This window comes from Homo sapiens, chromosome 17 (assembly GCF_000001405.40).
Source record: "Homo sapiens chromosome 17, GRCh38.p14 Primary Assembly".
NCBI classification, from domain to species: Eukaryota; Metazoa; Chordata; class Mammalia; order Primates; family Hominidae; genus Homo; species Homo sapiens.
In genome coordinates, this window is record NC_000017.11 from 33830828 (window position 1) to 33850149 (window position 19322).

Genomic DNA, 19322 nt, shown 5'->3' on the forward strand with positions numbered 1-19322 from the left:
CTGCAGGGCGCGGTGGCTCAGGCCTATAATCCCAGCATTTTAGGAGGCCAAAGTGGGTGGATCATCTGAGGTCAGGAGTTTGAGACCAGCCTGGCCAACATGGTAAAACCCCATCTCTACTAAAAATACAAAATTAGCAAGGCATGATGGCATGCACCTGTAATCCCAGCTACTCGGGAGGCTGAGGCAGGAGAATCACTTAGACCGGGAGGTGGAGGTTGCAATGAGCAGAGATTGCACCACTGCACTCCAGCCTGGGTGACAGAGTAAGGCTCTGTCAAAAAAAAAAAAAAAAAAAAAAAAAAAAAAAAAAAAGCAAGTCCTTACAAATTTGGCTGCCCTTTTAAGAAAATGCTGAAAATCTATAATTTATATTTGCATATAAATTATGTTGTACCTCTTCTCCTCCCTAGTCGAGATTTTTGGGGGCCTGCTCATACATATCCCATTAAGTCATGGAGGATTTTATTTCCCCAGACATGAGATTGAAATAGGTTGTGAAAACACTGCCTAATGATCCCTCCCGGATCTCTTGTGGATTAAGTGTCCCTCAAGTGCTGGGAAAGTTCCACAGTATCACTGAGTTCCTGCCTTGGTTCAGGCCAGATCCTACATTCTGGGCTACCCCGAAGACCAAGACCACACTGTCTTCCCTTAAAGGATTTTCAATCATTTCTTTTCCTTTGGATGAGACTATCATTAGGCAGATTGATAAAGTTATTATTACTTTCTTAAAATCTTTCTCTGATCTGAAGTAAAAAAAAAAAAAAAATAGAGTCCTGCAAAGTTTTGGTCAAAGAAATGTCTACTCCTGATTTGATTTGGGAACTGTCAGTGTTTGTGCATATGGGGCACTGAGCTCTGCACGCATCCACATCAGCCTCCTCCCTACTGACAGCAGGCCCGTCTCTCCCAGGGACACAGATATCATTATTCCTTGCAAGTGCATGGCACACTGTCAGGAGTTTGTTCTAGAAGAGCAAAAAGGCCCAGAAACAATCTTGAAGAGGAGAGAGGAGGGAAGGGATGGAGAACAAGACTCCCTGTTCTGTTGACTTGGAAACTCTTCGCTTTGGAGCAGCAGCAGATCAGCCCCCATGTCTCTTCCTAGCCTCTGTTTTGTTGTTGTCCTTTTTCATTTTTACCCTCTCTTCTCTTGTCTCCAAAGTATTGTTGTGAGATATGAGGAAAAGAGAGGACAAAAACCATCGTAGTTCATCACTATCAACAGAAAGGGAATAACTGGAGTTATTTCTTATCATCACCTCAACTGCTCTACCAATACTCATCTCTAGCCTTAAAAGAGGAGGGAGGACCTACATCATTGGTTAAGGATTTTGCCTTTTATTCTCCCTCAATGTAGAAATAACGTAGTTAAGTGTTGGCCTAGATAGACTAGCAAAGTGGTATCAAAATATAGCTGGTTTTGTGTGAGAGGAAAGATGAATTCTCCACAATTCCTGACTTCTCACATCACCAAGGAAAATCCAGAAATCACTGGAGACCTAGGAAGGCCAGGCATTCATAGTAACAGGGCACTAAATCATTAACAGCAGACAGGGGATCTCAGTATATCAATGTTAAACACAAGCTTGAGCCTCTGGCTGACCAGAAGGCCTAATGACAGGCAGGCAGCCTTCTAGACAAAGGCAGTTCAGGACGTTGGAGAGATACACTGGCAGTGAGATAGAGACTACAAATCAAAGGTTGAAGGCTATCAAGTTGCCCTTTATTTACACCCAGCCCTGGAATCTGAAGCCAACCAGTAGACTGCTGCAAAGCTCCAAATCTTTAGCAATAGCCAGACTTTACCGCTGTCACCTGTTAAAAGTGTCATGTTGGCATTTAAAGATTAGAAAATATCTAAAGTTAAAGTTAAGTATGTTTTTGCCACAGGATCCAGCAACTCCATTTCTAGAATATATTTACTCCAGATCAATGTATATAAATATATTCCAAGGAGTAGATTCTGAAATACATGCCAGATAATGCAGGTTTCTATGCAGGCCCTTCGGAAGGCAGGCACAATGTTTCCTTTGTGCTGTTTGATTTTTATAGTGGAGACTTAGAACCAACACGGGCACCTACTGTTAGAATATGGACAAGTAAAATATGGCAAGTACATATTACGGAATATTATGTAGTAGTTAGATAAAATTAACAAGATATATGTGTAACAACATAGATAGATTTTTAAAACACTGTTGAGTGAAACAAAGTTTGAAACAATGAGAGTTATAGTTGAATCTTAAGTAGACACACATGCATAAAGATCAAATATGTTAAAACGGGAGGCTGCATTGGAAATACGAAATAAGAAGAAAAGTAAAGAAAATTTAATTTTCTTTGATGGAGGTGGTTTTTATGGAGGGGCAATAGGCAAATTACCTCCATAAGATGATAAGCATCCCAAGGGCCAATGTTATGTCTGTTTCGTTTACCATTGTATCTCTAGCATCAAGTGCAGTATTGGTTTTATAGAAATATTCTAAAATAATTGTTGAATTAATTACCTTACTAATTTAAAAAAACCCCAGAGAACCAAAGAAGAAGAGGAAAAGGGGGTTACTGGAGTACTGAAATATCCAAATAGGCTATCTGCATTCCTTTGTAATCGGGGAGCAGATAGTATACGCTGTTTTAATGAGACCTTCCGTTCTCTTTGTCTGTGTGTGTGTGTATGTGCGTGTGTGTGTGTGTGTACCTATGTGTTTGTGTTTGTGTGTGTGCATGTGTAGAAGACCTGGGTGTTGGAGCAGAAGGAATTGTGTATCCCCCATCAAATGTCACGGTAATGGTCTCAGATAGAAGCAGCATGATGAAAAGTGGAAGAGACCTAGACCAGAAGTTAGTCTTGGCCTCTTCTTTCTGAGATTTGTGTTTGATATGTATGAAGGCATTAGTACTGCATCACAGACTTATTGCTGGTTTAAAATAATCTATTGCAGCTGGGCACACTGTCTATGCCTGTAATCTGAGCACTTTAGGTGGCCAAAGTGGGAGGATCGCTTGAGCCAAGGAGCTCGAGACCAGCCTGGGCCACATAGTGAAACCCTGTCTTGACAACAAATGATAATAAAAAACAATTAGCTGGGCTTGGTGGCACACACCTGTAATTCCAGCTACTCAGGAGGCTGAGGTGAGAGGATCACTTGAGGCCAGAAACTGGAGGCTGCAGTGAATCGTGATCATGCCACTGCACTTCATCCTGGATGGGAGTAAGACCCTATCTCAATAAACAACTAAATAAAAGTAAAATAAACTATTGCATATGGGCATGTTTAGACAGTTTAACTGGTTTGCCACATCTATATAAGTCATTATCATCTTGCCAAAGTAGTACAGCCTGCTGTCAGTATCAACTTCTGTACTGCTCAGATGTCAATCATTATCTTTTGCTTTCAAAGCCACTCATCTAGGTAGGGGGAACTTCATAGCAGAGCCAGGGCAGGGAGTTTTAGTAGCTATCCATGAAGAGTGCACTGTACCCATGAGAGCACTGTATTTCCCACTCTAAACACATTCCAGGCAAGGTCCTTTTTTAGATGAGTCTTCTTCCATTGGAGATCTCTAGAAGCTCATCAAATAACGTCCAGGCCCAGCTGTTGGTATTTGATGGTTTCTGTAATAGATAGTTTTTGTCTCATGTGAATCACGACAGATACCAGTTAACCACAGTCTCCTCATCAGTGGCAGAGTTGTAAAGGGCCATTCACTGGGGGAAGGAAAGTTTCTTTTTCCTGTGGGGACATAACAAATACAGCCAGGTTTAACATGGAAGAAGGGAAAAAGGGAGTGTACTTCCAAAAGCCCTTAACCTACTGTTGTTCCAAGGTATAAGGTAACCAATGAGACATTTGTATGCTATTTTTAGAAAGACATTAAATAACACAATTTTTAGTCTTTCTCACTGCAACAAATTTATCTTTGCCCCAAGAGAGTGCTGCCTCTGTCTCTCCGTGGAACTAAACTATGATCTTCCCAGAGGTGTAAGAAGTTTCTGAGAGCCCTCCTATGCCCAGGCAGTGTCCTGTTCACCATGTTGGCCAGGCAATGGGGATTTGGAGGACTACACCTAGGACAGTATTCCAAAAAAGACAAAAAAATAGTAAAAGGAAAAGGGGGTAAAATAAATAACTGTGTTTGGCGTGCTCATTCATATTTTCAATAAATATTTATTGAGTCTTTGCCATATGCCTAGCACTGTGGGTGTAGTAATGAATAAGACAGGTGTGATCTGCATTCTCATGGAACTTTCACATTGTGAGATTGTAATTCAAGGGATCCCCAACTTTTTGACCTGGCCTCAGAGGCATTCTAGCCTAGTGGTCAAGGGGGTTGGCTCTGGGGCCAGACTCTTTGGGTTCTAGTTCTGGCTGGACCTACTACTGTTGGTTTGCCTGAATTTGGACAGGTTACTGTATTGGTTAAAGGCAGTTAATTGCAATGCAAACCTCTTCCAACTTTTAGTCAAATCTGTTTTTCATCTCTTACACATGAATTGCTCATTCCAGCCGTCAGTACTTTGTACGTATTTTCCCCTACTTCTTGTCCGTTGATTTGTCTATAAGTTGCTCAAAGAGCTCAAATCTTGTGAACCCTAAGAAGTCTTCACTGATAAACCCCAGGTCATCTTAATTATTATTTACTCCCTCCTCCTCTCACCTGCATTTCTGTTCCAATAACCTTAGATTTCCACAATACCACTCTGACTTGTTCTCACTTCTGTTGTCATCTCTGGGTTCAGAGAAGACAAGTGACTAGCGGAAGATCACACAGATAATTTCTAATGTTAGAGCTGGAATCCAAATTCTAGTCTATCTGATTTCAAATTCTGTGACTTTTGCTATGCTCTCCTGACTTCTATCACATCATAGAGGAGTCTAATAAAATATACTATTTCAATCACTGACATTTTATTGAGTCTTCACTATTTTCCAGGTCCTGTATAAAATATACATAATTGCTATACATATTAATTATCATATTTTATTGTATTTTTTAGAGATGGGATTTCACCATGTTTCCCAGGCTGGTCTTGAAATCTTGAGCTCAAGTGATCCACCTGCCTCAGGCTCCCAAATTGCTGGGATTACAGGTGCAAGTCACTGTGCCCAGTATATGAAATACTAATTATATATTATATAATTATTAACATTTTAGAGGCTAATAATTATGTCTATCGTATATAATATGTATCCTACACACATGAATAATTATGTATATCATATATTATATATATACACACACACACACATATATAATTATCTCATTTACCCCTCATACAGCTTTTTTTTTTTTTTTTTTTTGGAGACAGTCTCACTCTGTTACCCAGGCTGGAGTGCAGTGGCCTGATATTGGTTCACTGCAACCTCTACCTCCTGGGTTCAAGCAATTCTCATGCCTCCCAGGTAGCTGGGATTACAGGCATGTGCCACCACACTTAGCTAGTTTTTTGTATTTTTAGTAGAGACAGAATTTCACCATGGTGGCCAGGCTGGTCTTGAACTCCTGGCCTCAAATTGACCTGCCTTTTTAGAGATGGGATTTCACCATGTTTCTCAGGCTGGTCTTGAAATCTTGAGCACAAGTGATCCACCTGCCTCAGCCTCCCAAAGTGCTGGAATTACAGGCATGAGCCTCTGGGCCCAGCCTACTCTTCATAAAGCTTTAAGAGGCAAATACTATTATTATCCCCATTTTATAGATAAGGAAACTAAGGCTTGCTGAAGTTAAGCAGGTTTTGGCCGGGTGCAGTGGCTCAGATCTGTAATCCCAGCACTCTGGGAGGCTAAGGCAGGTGGATCACAAGATCAGGAGTTCGAGACCAACTTGACCAACATGGTGAAACGCTGTCTCTACTAAAAATACAAAAATTAGCTAGGTGTGGTGGCATGCGCCTGTAATCCCAGCTACTCAGGAGGCTGAGGCAGGAGAGTCGCTTGAATCTGGGAGGCGGAGTTTACAGTAAGCCAAGATCACACCACTGAACTCCAGCCTGGGTGACAGAGCAAGACTCCGTCTCAAAAATAAAAAAGTTAAGCAGATTTCCCAAGGTCACAAAACAAAAAAGATGAAATTTGAATCTGAATCTGTGAATTTGTATCCTTTTCATTATTTGTGTTTTACTGTACTTAGTACACTGGTTGTCCAACAGTTATGCCAAAATAAGTGCTAACTGATCATTAAATTATATCTGAGTTCCTACAGCCTTTTCTTGAGCATTCTCTGTACTGATTACGTGGGCTGAAAGATCAATGGGCTTTGGCTTAGTGTGGATTTTCTGGGCTTCCTGAACTCTTCCCTGGTGTGATGTCAAGTCTTCTGATAAGTTTTCGTCTCTCCTTAGGTCTTTCAAATCCCAAGGTGGTATCAAGGGCTGCTGCCCAGATCCCAAACTCCTACCACGGCTTATGGGTGCCTGGGACAGTCCCGAAGGCCTAAGGTCTTGCTCAATCAATGGCCTTGCATTGGCCCTGAGATTCTGATTACAGTTGTTTTGCAAATAATGAGAAATTTGAAAAATATTGCTGTCCCCTAAATTGAGCCAGTCCTAACACTCACAAAATCCATAATGGTATAGATACCCAGATAGACCTTAACTGTGATTTAATAGTGCTCACTGTAATTTAGCCCCAGGGAAATGTGCTTTCAATTAACCAATGTAAGCACAATGTCTACTTATCCCATAAATGTTCTCCTAAATGTGCTAATTAAGACCTAGATCCAGTGCTTCTCATATTACACTCTCTTTCCTTTCTCCTAAATGCCTCTCTACTTCAGGATCACTTTATGCTTATCTGGAGTGTGGGCATAGTAGTCTATTGTCTGCCTCCAATTTTGCCCTATGTGCCTTAATTCATTCTCTACAGGGCTTAAATCTGTTAACAACGAAAAACAAAAAACAAAACCCCTTTAGTGACTCACCCTGTTTAACTACACTCTAACTTCTGGCCTCCTCCATATTATGGCCTCTCACCCACCCTTCCTGTCTCATCTTCTATTTTTCACTAACATCATCCAAACTCTTCTACATCCAGGTCTCTGTGCTGTTCTCTCTTTCTGAACTACTCTACCTCCATCTGTTCACCTGAAAACCCCACCTCTTCCAAAGCCTCCAAGAAAACCATTTGGTAACCAATCTGCTTGGATATGGCATACTTCCCTTTCAACTTCATGCTGATTTACCTGTTCTTTCCTAATGGAATTTAGCATATATGTCCTTTGCTCCTACTGCTGCTTGAGTCTAATAAAGAATTTGAAGCAGTAGTTTTGTGTTTATGTAATTATGTATTTGTCTTCTTCTCCCAACCAGAGTAGAAACTTCTTCACTAGGGCAACTTTATCTCTGCATCTTCACAGGGATTTGCACACAGATGCTTCATAAATGACTTTTGAATTAAACTGAGTTAGGTTGAAATGATAGGAAGTAGAAGGGAACACACTAACTATTGAGCTCTTTAAGAAGGCAAACAGAGTGGGCAGCCATTAAGTATCCCCAGTGTTCGAGAGTATTGGTCCTGCTTGAGTGAATGACCAGCTGAATTTCTTCATTCAGAGGCTTCACCCAGATCATGTTCTTTACCCCTGAATAGTTTTCCTAGTCATTCAGTACAATCCTTAAGACTTGATCAACTATCAGATGACACATTCTTAAAGCATCTTCTCATAAATAAATAACTACAACTGTCAATGATGATGCAATGGTGGTTGTGTGATAGTACTTGAATCAGGAGTCAGGCTATCTCAGTTGTAGCCTTTGAAATATCATTTAATTGCCGTAGAACTGGGGAACTGAGCCTGAGTTATTTTATTTGTGTGCCTCTGTACACAACAATAGTTAGATAACTGGAGTGCTAGCAGCATGTCGCTTTATGATCTCACACATGCTCTGGATCAGTGGTCTGCCATTCTGAATGCCCATTAAAATCACCTGGGGAGCTTTAAAAATACCAATGTCTGCCCCAACCCAACCAAATGTTATAGTCTCTGAGGTCTACCAAGCATCAGAATGTCTTTAAAGCTCCACAAGTCATTCCCAAGAGTAGCCAGAGTTGAAAACTTCTACTATAGACCAAGGCTTCTCAGATTTTAATGTGCATGCAAACCACCTGAGGATATTTCCAGTCTAATTTTGTAGGTGTAAGGAGGGGCCCAAGAATCTGCATTTCTAACAAACTCCCAGGTGATGCCAATGCTGCTAGTGCATGCACCACACTTTAAAGAATAAGATGCAATTGATTCTGTATAAGTTCCTTGAAAGAGCTGCTCTTAGAAGGAGCCATCTGACTAACTACATGCCCTAATAGGTGCCTCCAGGATTTAGGTGCTTGTCTTTCTTCAGATTCTGGGGAGCATCTAAGAGTGTCCAACTTCAGAACCTATGAAATGCTCCAGAAGCAATCAAGACAATAGATCTAAATAGAGTTACTGACAGAAGCAGATGCTTCAGAGACTAGCACAACAGGTGGGTACCCAGGAACATTGGGTGAAGGCTAGCACAAGGCTTTAATGATAAACTGGCCATCACATTTCTAACACCCAGAGTCCCACAGTTCCTAGCATTCTCCAAGACATCTAGACAATGCATTAATTAATTCAAGCAAAACTAATTGATCACCCATTGTGGCAGTCATTTATTTATTGTCTCCCAGCCCCAAACTCACCCTTCTACACTCTGATATGTAATTCTGGGGCTGGGACTCTGCAAACCACATTTATCCTTTGATTGCTCGCTCTAGGGTGACCAATTGTCCCCATTTTCCTAAGTCTGTTTCCCATTTTAGCACTGAAAGCCTTGTGCCCAGGAAACCCCTTATTCTCAGTTAATTATTCTAGCTGGCTTGCTGTTAGGTTCTGCAAATAGGTGACATTAGGGGGAGATTTAAAGGAGGGATAAGGGTCTGTCTTATTCCTGTTTTGTTTACCATTCCTGTCATTGCTACCTGAGTTAGTGGCAGGTACCACCCAGCAGCAGCAGCAGCAGCAATGGTTGGTTCCAGCCTCCAGCTCCTTTCAGCACACCAGAGCCAGCCTTGTTGCTTTGTCTCAGGGATGCCACAGCATCTGGGCAGCTCCGTGGACCTCCTCTTCTGAGCTTCTAGGTTCTGGTGATTCACCTCTGCCCTTGTTCTCCAGCCTTAGGGATAGGTTGCTATTTCCTGCATTTATCATATCTGGGTTATATCAGTGAGCATGCTGATATGCTCTTTTAGTCCTTCAACACCTGCATAAACTGTTTCTTCTATTAAATTCCTTCTGATGATTTATTTGGTGTGGTTTTCCTGACTAGTTTCTGGCTTATATATTTGTTCAGTGCAAACTACTCAGTTGGACACTAGAAATATTAAAATAAATATGACACAGCTGCAGTCCTCTAGTGGGAGGAGAGATAAGTGTCCTTATTACAGTGTGGTGGGGACATGCTGGGCAGACCACACACCAAGTGTTAGGGGAGCCCAGTGTGGGGAGTTCCCAGAATAGAGAGTCATTGAAACGTTTCTGGGGAGGGGTTTTTGAGATGAATTTCAACTGAGGCTTCAGCAAAACTGAAGAAAGGAGCAAAGACGCTTCAGGCATGGGAAACAGCTTATGCTAAGGCATGAAGGAGTGTATGTACAGCACCGTATACTCTGGGAATAACTCTGCATGTCCAGAATGAGAATTGTGAGTGGAGAAGTAGGAGATGTTCCCGCTCTCCATGGACCTTCAGTGCTGAGCTAAGATGTTTGGAATTTATCCTGAAATCTTTAAGCTGTTAATCAAAGGTTTTAGAAGGGGCTACCACTCCAAGTGGAAAATTGAGAAGGGGAGTTGACATCTACTAGTTGGGTTTTAAGTAAGCTTTTGTTCAATCCTATAGGCTAGGAATTCATGGTCCTGTGTTGTAAGAAATAGGTGATTGCTTTAAATAAAGACATGGAATATTAATTCAAATCAAGGTAGGTTATTCCTTTAGGTACCTGGACACACCACACACACACACACACACACACACAGAGCCTAGATTATCTTGTTGAAATAACATAAAATAATAGAATGGCTTCTTTTGAGGGCACATTAACAAAATTGGAGCATCTTAGTCTGTCATGAAGAAAGGAGTGGCTATTCTGATGGACAGGTATATATATTTAAAGGTTCCAGAGAGTATAAACCAGACTTTATAGCAAGTGGAGGATCCCTTAATTTTCAGGAACCTGGAGACCACCTGAACAAGAAAGTTACCTGAAAAAAAAAGACTCAACTGTGAGACACAATCCTTTTCTCAAGCTAGCTAGAATAATTAGCTGTTCTGGTTTACCTGAGACTAAGAAGTTTCCTGGGACAGGGCCCTTTCAGTGCTAACTACACTTGTGGGCAAGTTGTTGAAGATAACTAGAAATACAAAGACAATGTGACACAAAATTCTCTGGCAAGTCGGGGAAGGTGTAGACATGGACTCCAGAGGTCTCTGCCATCAGAATTGCTGGTTGTTTTGGGGAAGTGCTATGAGAGACTGAAAAGGCTAGTGGGAGGTTGAGATTACTTAAATGCACTGTTTAATTTTTTTTTTCAATAAAAGTCTAAAAGCCAGGCTTTAAGCCTAAAGTGCTGGAGGCTATTAGCCACCTGAGGCAAGGCAGTTAGGCACAGGTGTGCCAGGCTGCCAAATTACAATGAGTGCACATCCCAGGTTCAGAATATTTGAACCACTGGGCTCTGTTTGATGCTAAAATGACCCATTTTGAAACCAATAAAAGAAAATGCCACTTTACACAGTGAGAAACAGGCATTAGGAACATACTGTCCCTTTGGAAGAGTCCCCGTGGTATAAGCAACATTGACCAAGCTCCAGGGGTTATCTTCAGGGACAGAAGCCCCCAAGAGAGGGAGGCATCAGTCAGTCTGAGTGGTCGTTATGGGTATTTTGGTCATCATCACAAGAAATAATTGGGAAGATCTTGCTCTTGTGTCAAATCCCTATCAACCTCAATAGGGAAGGCACCAGGTTCAAGAGGCCGGAGAAGAGACCCAGAGCTAGCAAACGAGACACAGGGTTTTACTAGGGGCCTACATACACAGGAGAGAGTCCAGTGGTGGTGAGCTGGACAGAAGAGCCGCCTTATATACGGAGAATGTCCAGTGGTGGCAGGCTGTACAATATATCCACCTTATGTACGGTCCAGTGGCGGAGGGCTAGACAACATATCCGCCTTATGTATGGTCCAGTGGTGGCAGGCTGGACAACATATCTGCCTTATATACAGTCCAGTGGTGGTGGGCTGGACGACATAACCGCATGGCCCAGAGACAGCAGGCTGGGCAAGAAAACTGCAACCACACAAACAACATGCAGTTTATACAGCATTTTCACTTAACACCCTCCCCTTAATGACTTGCACCTGGCAACCTTCATTTAACGCAAAACTCAGGGCCTCAGTGCCCTGTACAGCCCATGTTCCATGGGATGGGATGGGGCCATGGGGATGGTGGTACTCAGATGTTTCTCATAGACAAGACATGGGTCTCCAGGTTGCCTAGATTCCCCAGCTCGGGACACACATTAAGATGCATCTACCATACAGGGTCATTCTAAGGGTATGCTTAAGGTATTCCTGTTAGGTGTGTTTATCCAACACTTGGAATGTGCTGCACTGAGGTTTAAATATAAAACTGCAAATATCCAGGAGATGGAGAGCTGTGTCAGTATTGAACCTGAGACAGGGCTGGGACGATTCAGTGGACTGGAAGTCACAGAGGTGGTCATGGTATTATGGGACCTGGCAACAAAGTTGATACATACATGAAAGTGGAGAAACAGAGAATTAGGAAGGAGGAGGTGATTGTCTTGTCCTGTCCTGGTCATACAAACAGTGACTTCAGGCCTTGCCATGATATATTTAGAGGGATATTGACAAACTGGAGCACTAGCTGAGGATGAAGATTGGACAGTGAGAGAGGCAAGCACTGGGAACATTCAGAGGAGAAGAAGGATGGCCCACGAGAACCCACTCACTATGTACTGACACGTGATGGGCTGTCTTGTGAAAGAGGAATTAGATGGGTTTGGAGAGGGCCCAGCGGGGAGAGCCAGGATGGATGAGTGGAATTCCAGGGAGACAGATTTTGATTTGATGAAAGGGAGATGTCTGTGGCAGTTAGAACTGAGCTCCCCAGCTATGGATTTGGCTGCCTTGAAGGCAGTGCCTCCAAAAAGTATTCAACAGAGAAAAACAAACGGGCCCTCAGTGTTATGCCCGTGCACATACGAATGTGATTATTATCTCACCCTGCTTTATTTTCATCATTGCACGTGCCATTTGCAATTGTTTGTTTCTGTTTCCTTATTGATTGTCTTTCTTCCGCTGGAATGTAAATCCCATGAGAACAAGGACCTTATCAGGCTTATTTGCTGCTGTGGTCCAAGAACCTACTATGGTGCCTGGCATATGGTAGGTGGTCAATGAACATTGGGTGAGAAACGGAAGGCTAAGGAAGGGACTCCATCACCGTTTGAAAGGTAGGTTTAGAAATAGCTTCTGAGACAAGAAAAAAATATCTTTCTTGAATAAAATTTCTCATGGGACCCCAATATTCAAAATCAATTAATGTGGCATTTTAATAGTGCACATTTATGTCATAAGTCTCACTGTTAACCGTTTATTTTACATATAGTAAGAAGAGTCACTGAGAATGATGAGATTGTTTTGATAAACATGATAAAACTTTTGAAATCAAGGCTACTAGAAGACTTAGAATGTAATGTATTCCTCTATTTTCTTCTGCTTACAGAGCACTGGGAAAACCCTGATTCATGCAGAGAAGTAGTTGCAAATGATATCAGTCTGCAATAGCTCATCTGGCAATCTCAGGGTAATTCTTCAATTAAACTGATGGAGAAGCTTGAAAAGAGAGTAGTTGGAAAATTGAGCTTGGAAGCCAAATCTCTCACAGTTTGTAACAGCAGGTTGTGCCTCTTATCATGCATTCAAAAGTCAGGCAAGAAGAGGCAAAGCTTACAATGAATGCCAATGCTATTTTGATGTGTGACATTATCATGACTCTGATGAGTTACACATTTGGTTATAATTGTACAACCAACCATTAAGCCTTGGGAGTCAAGCACCTTCTCCTTGCCTAACTCTTAACTGAACACGAGGCTGTGTCTCTGTGCTGTGGAACTGTCTAATTCTCCAGATATAGAGGTGTTCAGGCATAAATTTATCTTTTAAAAAATCAGCACAAAGATGCAATCTTCATAGCCAATAACTCATTTTCAATAAGCTCTGGTGTATATGTATAACTTTATTGGGAGAAGAGTCCTGAGAACTACACAAAAGTGTGCTGGTAATACAGGTTAATGTATTGGTGCTAAAATTTGGTACATGGCATATTTAAGTTGCATGTTATTCTTTTAAATGAATTTTACTAATTAAAATATATTAAAATGAAATTATAATTAAAAATTCTTGTAGGATGACCGTGGCATTTGTACTTAAATGTTACTAGAAAAAGCCCAAATTAAGGGTTCCTTGTGAACCTGAGATTCTCCAACACTGGATGGGATGGAGTCATAACCTTCAAGACATGTGGGCAGGACCATTTAGATCACGGCAAGGAGGGCAGAGTAAGATGGCCCTAATTATGGGCTTTATCATAAAATCGACTGTTGCCGGCATCCAAGTAAACAAGGACCATGACACCCAGACTCTCTGCCCCAACATTGCTGTTGTGACAAAGTGCTTCTGCCATATTGGATAGGTCAGGTGAGCATATGAAAACAGAGATGATAGTCATCTGGGAATGGAGAGTAACCGGTCTTCAAAACTTTATTTCACAGAGATGGTGGTGACTTGCATTTCTGTAAGCCAGCAAAGGAAGAAATAAATTTCCTCAACCAATTTAAAGAATAATCCAGCTGACAGATATAAACTGTCAACCTGTTATTTAGCTCTATTAGTGATTGCAAATATCAGATTATATTAGCTACCAATATTTATTGAATACTTACTATGTGCTAGATAGTCTCATAATATATTTATATAAATTTTTTTATTTTTCTAGCAATCCTGGGATTTCCATTTTTGAGTATCCCCATTTTACAGATGGGAAATAACAGATGTTAAGTAACACAGATGTTAAGTAACTTGGCTAACGCCATGTAGCCAATGTACAGTGAGGCCATGATTCAGAACCACATACTTTGACTCCAAAGCCTACATTTTTAACCACATTGAAAATATGAACAGATTATGGGGGAAGCTAGGTTCAGGAGCTGAATTGTCCAGTCATAAAGTACCTAGGGTTTTAGAAAAAAATTCCGGAGTTACAGAATTATCTAAAATTGGATAAGGTTCTGCAAGTCAAGTTAGTGCTATACTATTGATACCTAATTCTATCATTTGATTGATATCCAGTTATATTGATTGGTTCTTAATTTTTATCTTAGCCTATAGTAAGACCTTTTTCCATCTCATGGAAACGTACCTCCAAATTTATCATGTATGCCAAGGGAAAACTGATCAACTCTCCACCATTTTGTTTTACGAGTAATATTACCAGAATGCTTGTATTTCATTGAGTGAAGGGTGCACCTGTAAACGCAGCATTGAACTTGGAGGTATGCAGTGGGTGGTAAGAGAGCAGCCTTGAATGAAAGAGATAATATGGTATAGTGGGAAGAACATACATTTAGGAGGAACAGAGTGGCTCTGCAACTACATAATTGTATGACTTTAGGCTGTTCATTGAATCTCTCTAAGTCTCAATTTTCCAAGTTGAGAAATGGCGATAATGGAGTCTCATAGTCCTGCTGAGATGATGGAATAATCGTATTTTGAATACCTGCCAGATAGAGGCACCTTACCTGTTAGAACTCTTTCTCCCCACCTTCATCTTTCTCATGCAATGTATATACATGATTAGAATGACCTCATACATCCAGCATATAAAATAAAAGCAAGTGAATATCTTATCGTATATTGTGACAAGGGATTGAAAATTCTAAAGAGGTGTTTATAAATACCTGAAAAAAAAGCTTGTAAGGATGAGGCCACATTATTTCAGAGTCCCTATTGCCTCCAACCTTGCCAAAACTGCTATTAGCATTTAGCTGTTTAGCTAAAATGGGCCTTTTCTTCATTGTGGACTTCCTCTTATGACTTTCGTATTGGCGAGGGGACTTTGGAAAATTCATGCAAAGACCTACCACATAGTCGTTTTCTGAACTGCAGAATTTTGTCTAAGATTATAAAGGCCAGAAATGTCCAAAGGGAGGAGACACTGGATATAAACAAAATGAACAAGGGGAAAGTAGAAAGAGCATTTAAATGCTTCCATGTCCAGGCCCAGTGTGCACAGGCTTTCTGGACATGCTATGGCTTGGGGGCTCTTCTCCCGGGCCAGATAGGGAGCAGGTTCTGGGAGTCAGCTCCTCCCAGATTGTACCTGTGAGAGGAAATTCAGCTGACAGTAAACAACAGCCAAGGGTCCAGTGCTTGATCTTGGCTGTAATGCATGCCCCAGTCTCTATCAAAGGCCAATAGCCACTTGCTTCACCTGCCCAGTTCTGCTGGGTTTGACATGCTGAGTTATTTTCCCTTCTCAAGTTGGCCTCACTAATAGCTCTGATTGCCAAGCCCTTCATAATTGGCCTTGTTCTGTTGAATCTGATCTGCAGAGTGGGATGGGGGAGGATGCATGAGCTAGCTCTAAATTAAGCAGGTAAATTAAAGATGTGTATGATGCCACCCCACCAAAATGACTATTTTTCAGTTAGCTTAACTGGCATTTCCAATCTGACTCCTTTCAAAACTGGATGTTTGCCGTTAAACACACATGCACACCCACCCACACACAATAACACCGTCTACTTCTTTCACAGCTTATACCTGTGAGCAGCTAAGATTCTCAGTGATAACTTTTTTTTTTTTTTTTGAGACGGAGTCTTGCTCTGTCGCCCAGGCTGGAGTGCAGTGGCACGATCTCGGCTCACTGCAAGCTCTGCCTCCCGGGTTCACGCCTTTCTCCTGCCTCAGCCTCCCGACAGTGATAACGTTTTAAGTCTACGGTCTCTTCCCTGGGACATGATTCTCCAAGGCAGAGCCCAGAGGACCAGAAAACCACAATTTTCAAACCCACTGTGTCATCTCCTCTTATCCTGTACAATTCCGTCTCAGCTCCTCAGGCTCTCAGCAAGTTCTTATTCCCACCAGGAGAACTTTCCTAGCAGCAGCAGGAGGAGTCTCCAGTTCCAGCCAGGAACATCTAAACCCAGGCACCTAAAGGATTTGGAAATAGCTCCAACGACCTCTTTGCATCTTCTCTGGAAAACAGAGACTTCTGGGAGGCATCTAGTAGGGCAGAAAGAGGAGCCTTACAGGAGAAAGTTTCTAGTAGCTTCAGGCTCTACCATTGCTGTGCGTTTTGGGAAAAACCCACCTGTTTTCCTTGAGCCTTAGTTTTCTCTTCTGTCAAGTGGGGAGAGTAACACCCTGCTTTATCCACCTCACCCAGCCCTTCATCCAACTCTCTGCCATGAGGTTACCATCCAGTAAGAGTCAATCCTGGGGAACAGGCCTTGCAGACAGCCCCCATCATCAACACTTTCTCCTTATATGACCTGACACTCTATTTCCTGCCCTGTTTCTGCAATTCTCAGCAACTAATCTCCAGGCTCTCTTCCTGCTCATGGCTAGGCACACATAAACCTTTGGAATAAGGCTGACCCTGCTCGCTGGGTACAGTCACTCTTTTCCCACACTCCAGACAGGATACTACTGTGCTCTCAGCTTGCAATAGTATATGGGACACAGCTTACTCTCCCTGCTAATTCATCAGCCAACATTCCTTGAGAGTCTTCTGCATGCCAGGGTGCAAATAATTGAATGAGAGCATGCCTGTTATCAAAGATAGTCTAGAGGAAGAGGCAGATGAGCAAATGACAAGGCCCGGTGATGCACAGTAGCACAGAGGAAAGTACAGGCCAATGGGAGCCCAGTGGAGGGGAGCCTGGGAAGCCTTCAAGGAGGAAAAAAGAAGATCAAGTGTTAGGCAGGCAAGGGGCAGCAATGGGAGTGGAGAGTACAGGAAGCATCTGGGCAGGAGATGCAAATGCAAATATATGGGGAGGAAGAGGAGAACTCACTCCAGGCACTTTGGGAAGTGAATGCATTGTCTCTACTTGACAGAAGATAGCCAAGAGCTGGAAGAGGCAAAGAGATTTGCCTGGGGCCTCACAGCCAGTAGACTGCACAGAGAAGGTTAAAATCTACATCTGCTTACTTCAGAGCCTGAGCTCTTTGCATTACACGCTCTGCCTTTCCAAGTAGAGGGTGGTCAAGGCAACCAGAAGGGCAGCCCTAGATCAAAGCAGAAGGCACTGCAGCCTTTGCCAGAAATCCCATTCTACTGGAGCTAACATGGGCCCCCGAAGCAGCCACGTTTACATTTCATCCTTGCCAATAATGAACGTGCCAACTAAGGGGCAGGCAACCTAGGTTACCCAGTGGGGCATCCTTTTTTTCTCCTTACATGCTCAACCTCTTAGGTCTTATACCTCCTCTTCCTCTGCTCTCTTGAAAGTGAGCTACTGCTTGGGAGGGATAATGGCATTGCTCCTGCTCCCTTGTGAATGAGGGGTGTTGTAGCCCAAAAGCAACAGAGGACAGGCACTGAGCTGCTGGTGCCCTCCCTGCTTCAAAAGGGCCAAGCTTTAGAGGCTCTCATGCCCTTAGGGACTCATACTAATCTTTTTATCTAGTTATTTATACAACATTCTGCAGAGTTGACTTGTCTCGTGATTTTACAAAAGAGCAAAAATAACAACGTCAGCACTTCAGGTGCACAGTAATTCCTAATTCCCTGCTCCCCAAGGCATTCTAGGCAGTAGCTGGATGGTACAGATGAAGGAATGGAGAGGTACCTGGAAGGCAGGCAGGCTTCACTCCAGGGGCTGACGGTGTTACTGGACAAGGCCCTCAACACTCTGGGGTTCTGCCAGGCAAAATAGGAAAATATGGGAAGGGGAGGCAGGGATAAAAGTAGTATTTGTTAAACACATTATATGCACATATCTATTTTATCCTTACAACAGATAAACATTGTTCTGATTCTACAGCTAAGAAAAAGGAAGCTCTGAGAGGTGCTAATTCCTTTGTTAAAGTAACATACCTAGGAAGAGGCAGATCCTGCCTACTGGCTGATTTCTGTACTATTTCTGCATTTATGTTTCAGAAAATTGGCCTAATTTTTACAACTAGTTTGTGCTAAAGTCCAAAGTAGAACTTGAATCCTTCACCCTTCTATACCAGTGAATAAATGTGCTCATTAATTAGTGCACTCATGTGCAAACATATCTAGTGCTCACTCTAGGTGAGATCCTGTGCTGAGTCCCCGCCTGCTAGGAGCTTCTTGGTAAGAACTGGGATCCTGGAAGCACAGAGGGCCATGAGAACCCAGGGGAAGAGCAAGCATGAAGGACTTGCTGTCCGCTATTAGCAGACACTGGCTGGGGACTAGTGCTCTACTGCAGTCTTAACTGAGCCTCACCAGGGCCCTAAGAGGTACAGATCATTATCATTTCCATGTTGCAACTGTGGAGACTGAGGAATGAGGGGTGCTGTGTAACCTACTCAAGGTCCCATGGTTAGTAAGTGACTAAACCAGGATCCAAGCCTACGTTTCTCTGACACCCAAGTCTGTTCTCTTAAAAACCATGCTATTTCCCTCCCAGAGTCAGGGATGGCTGGGGGTCACCAGGGAGGTGATCATGGAAGCCTTACCCAGGGGGTGAGACTTGCCAGGGAGGAAGCCTTCCCCTTGAGTATGGAAGGGTGATTAAGAGTTAACCAAGTGAAGAAAGGGGAACTGCAAATATTCTGGAAGACTGCATCAGAGACTGGGCAAAAGGGAATAGCACTGTCAAAGCCTGAAGAAGCAAGCAGGACTCAGGCATGGAAAAACCTTTCATGCCATGAAAAGGAGTTTGGACTCCTGAAGGCAACAGGGAGTCAATAAGGGCTTTTTTCAAAGGAGGAAGCTGATCAGATTTGCATTTTAGGAAGCTCACTTTTGCTGCAGTGTGGATTGGATTGAGGCAAAGCTGGAAGCAGAGAAATCAGTGGATGCTGTTATAGTCCTAGGCAATTAATTACAAAAAGTAACAACAGTAGATATACAAAGTATTTTTTGAATTCTGCTATGTTAAAGGTATGTTGTTTCTTAAGAGGGGGAAACACATCCCGAAAGACATGGTTCTTGCCTTATCGAAGATTAGAGTCTAACTGTGCTTATCATTCTTCCATTACTGTTCTCTTCAGGTGCTCACAAAATCAGGGCTTATG

The 19322-nt window shown here is 42.4% G+C and overlaps 1 protein-coding gene across 1 annotated transcript in view; it reads right to left on the reverse strand.

Annotated features, from left to right (window-relative positions):
- Nucleotides 1–19322, reverse strand: part of ASIC2 (acid sensing ion channel subunit 2) — a 1143682-nt gene that overhangs the window by 817741 nt on the left and 306619 nt on the right. The window lies entirely within an intron of this gene.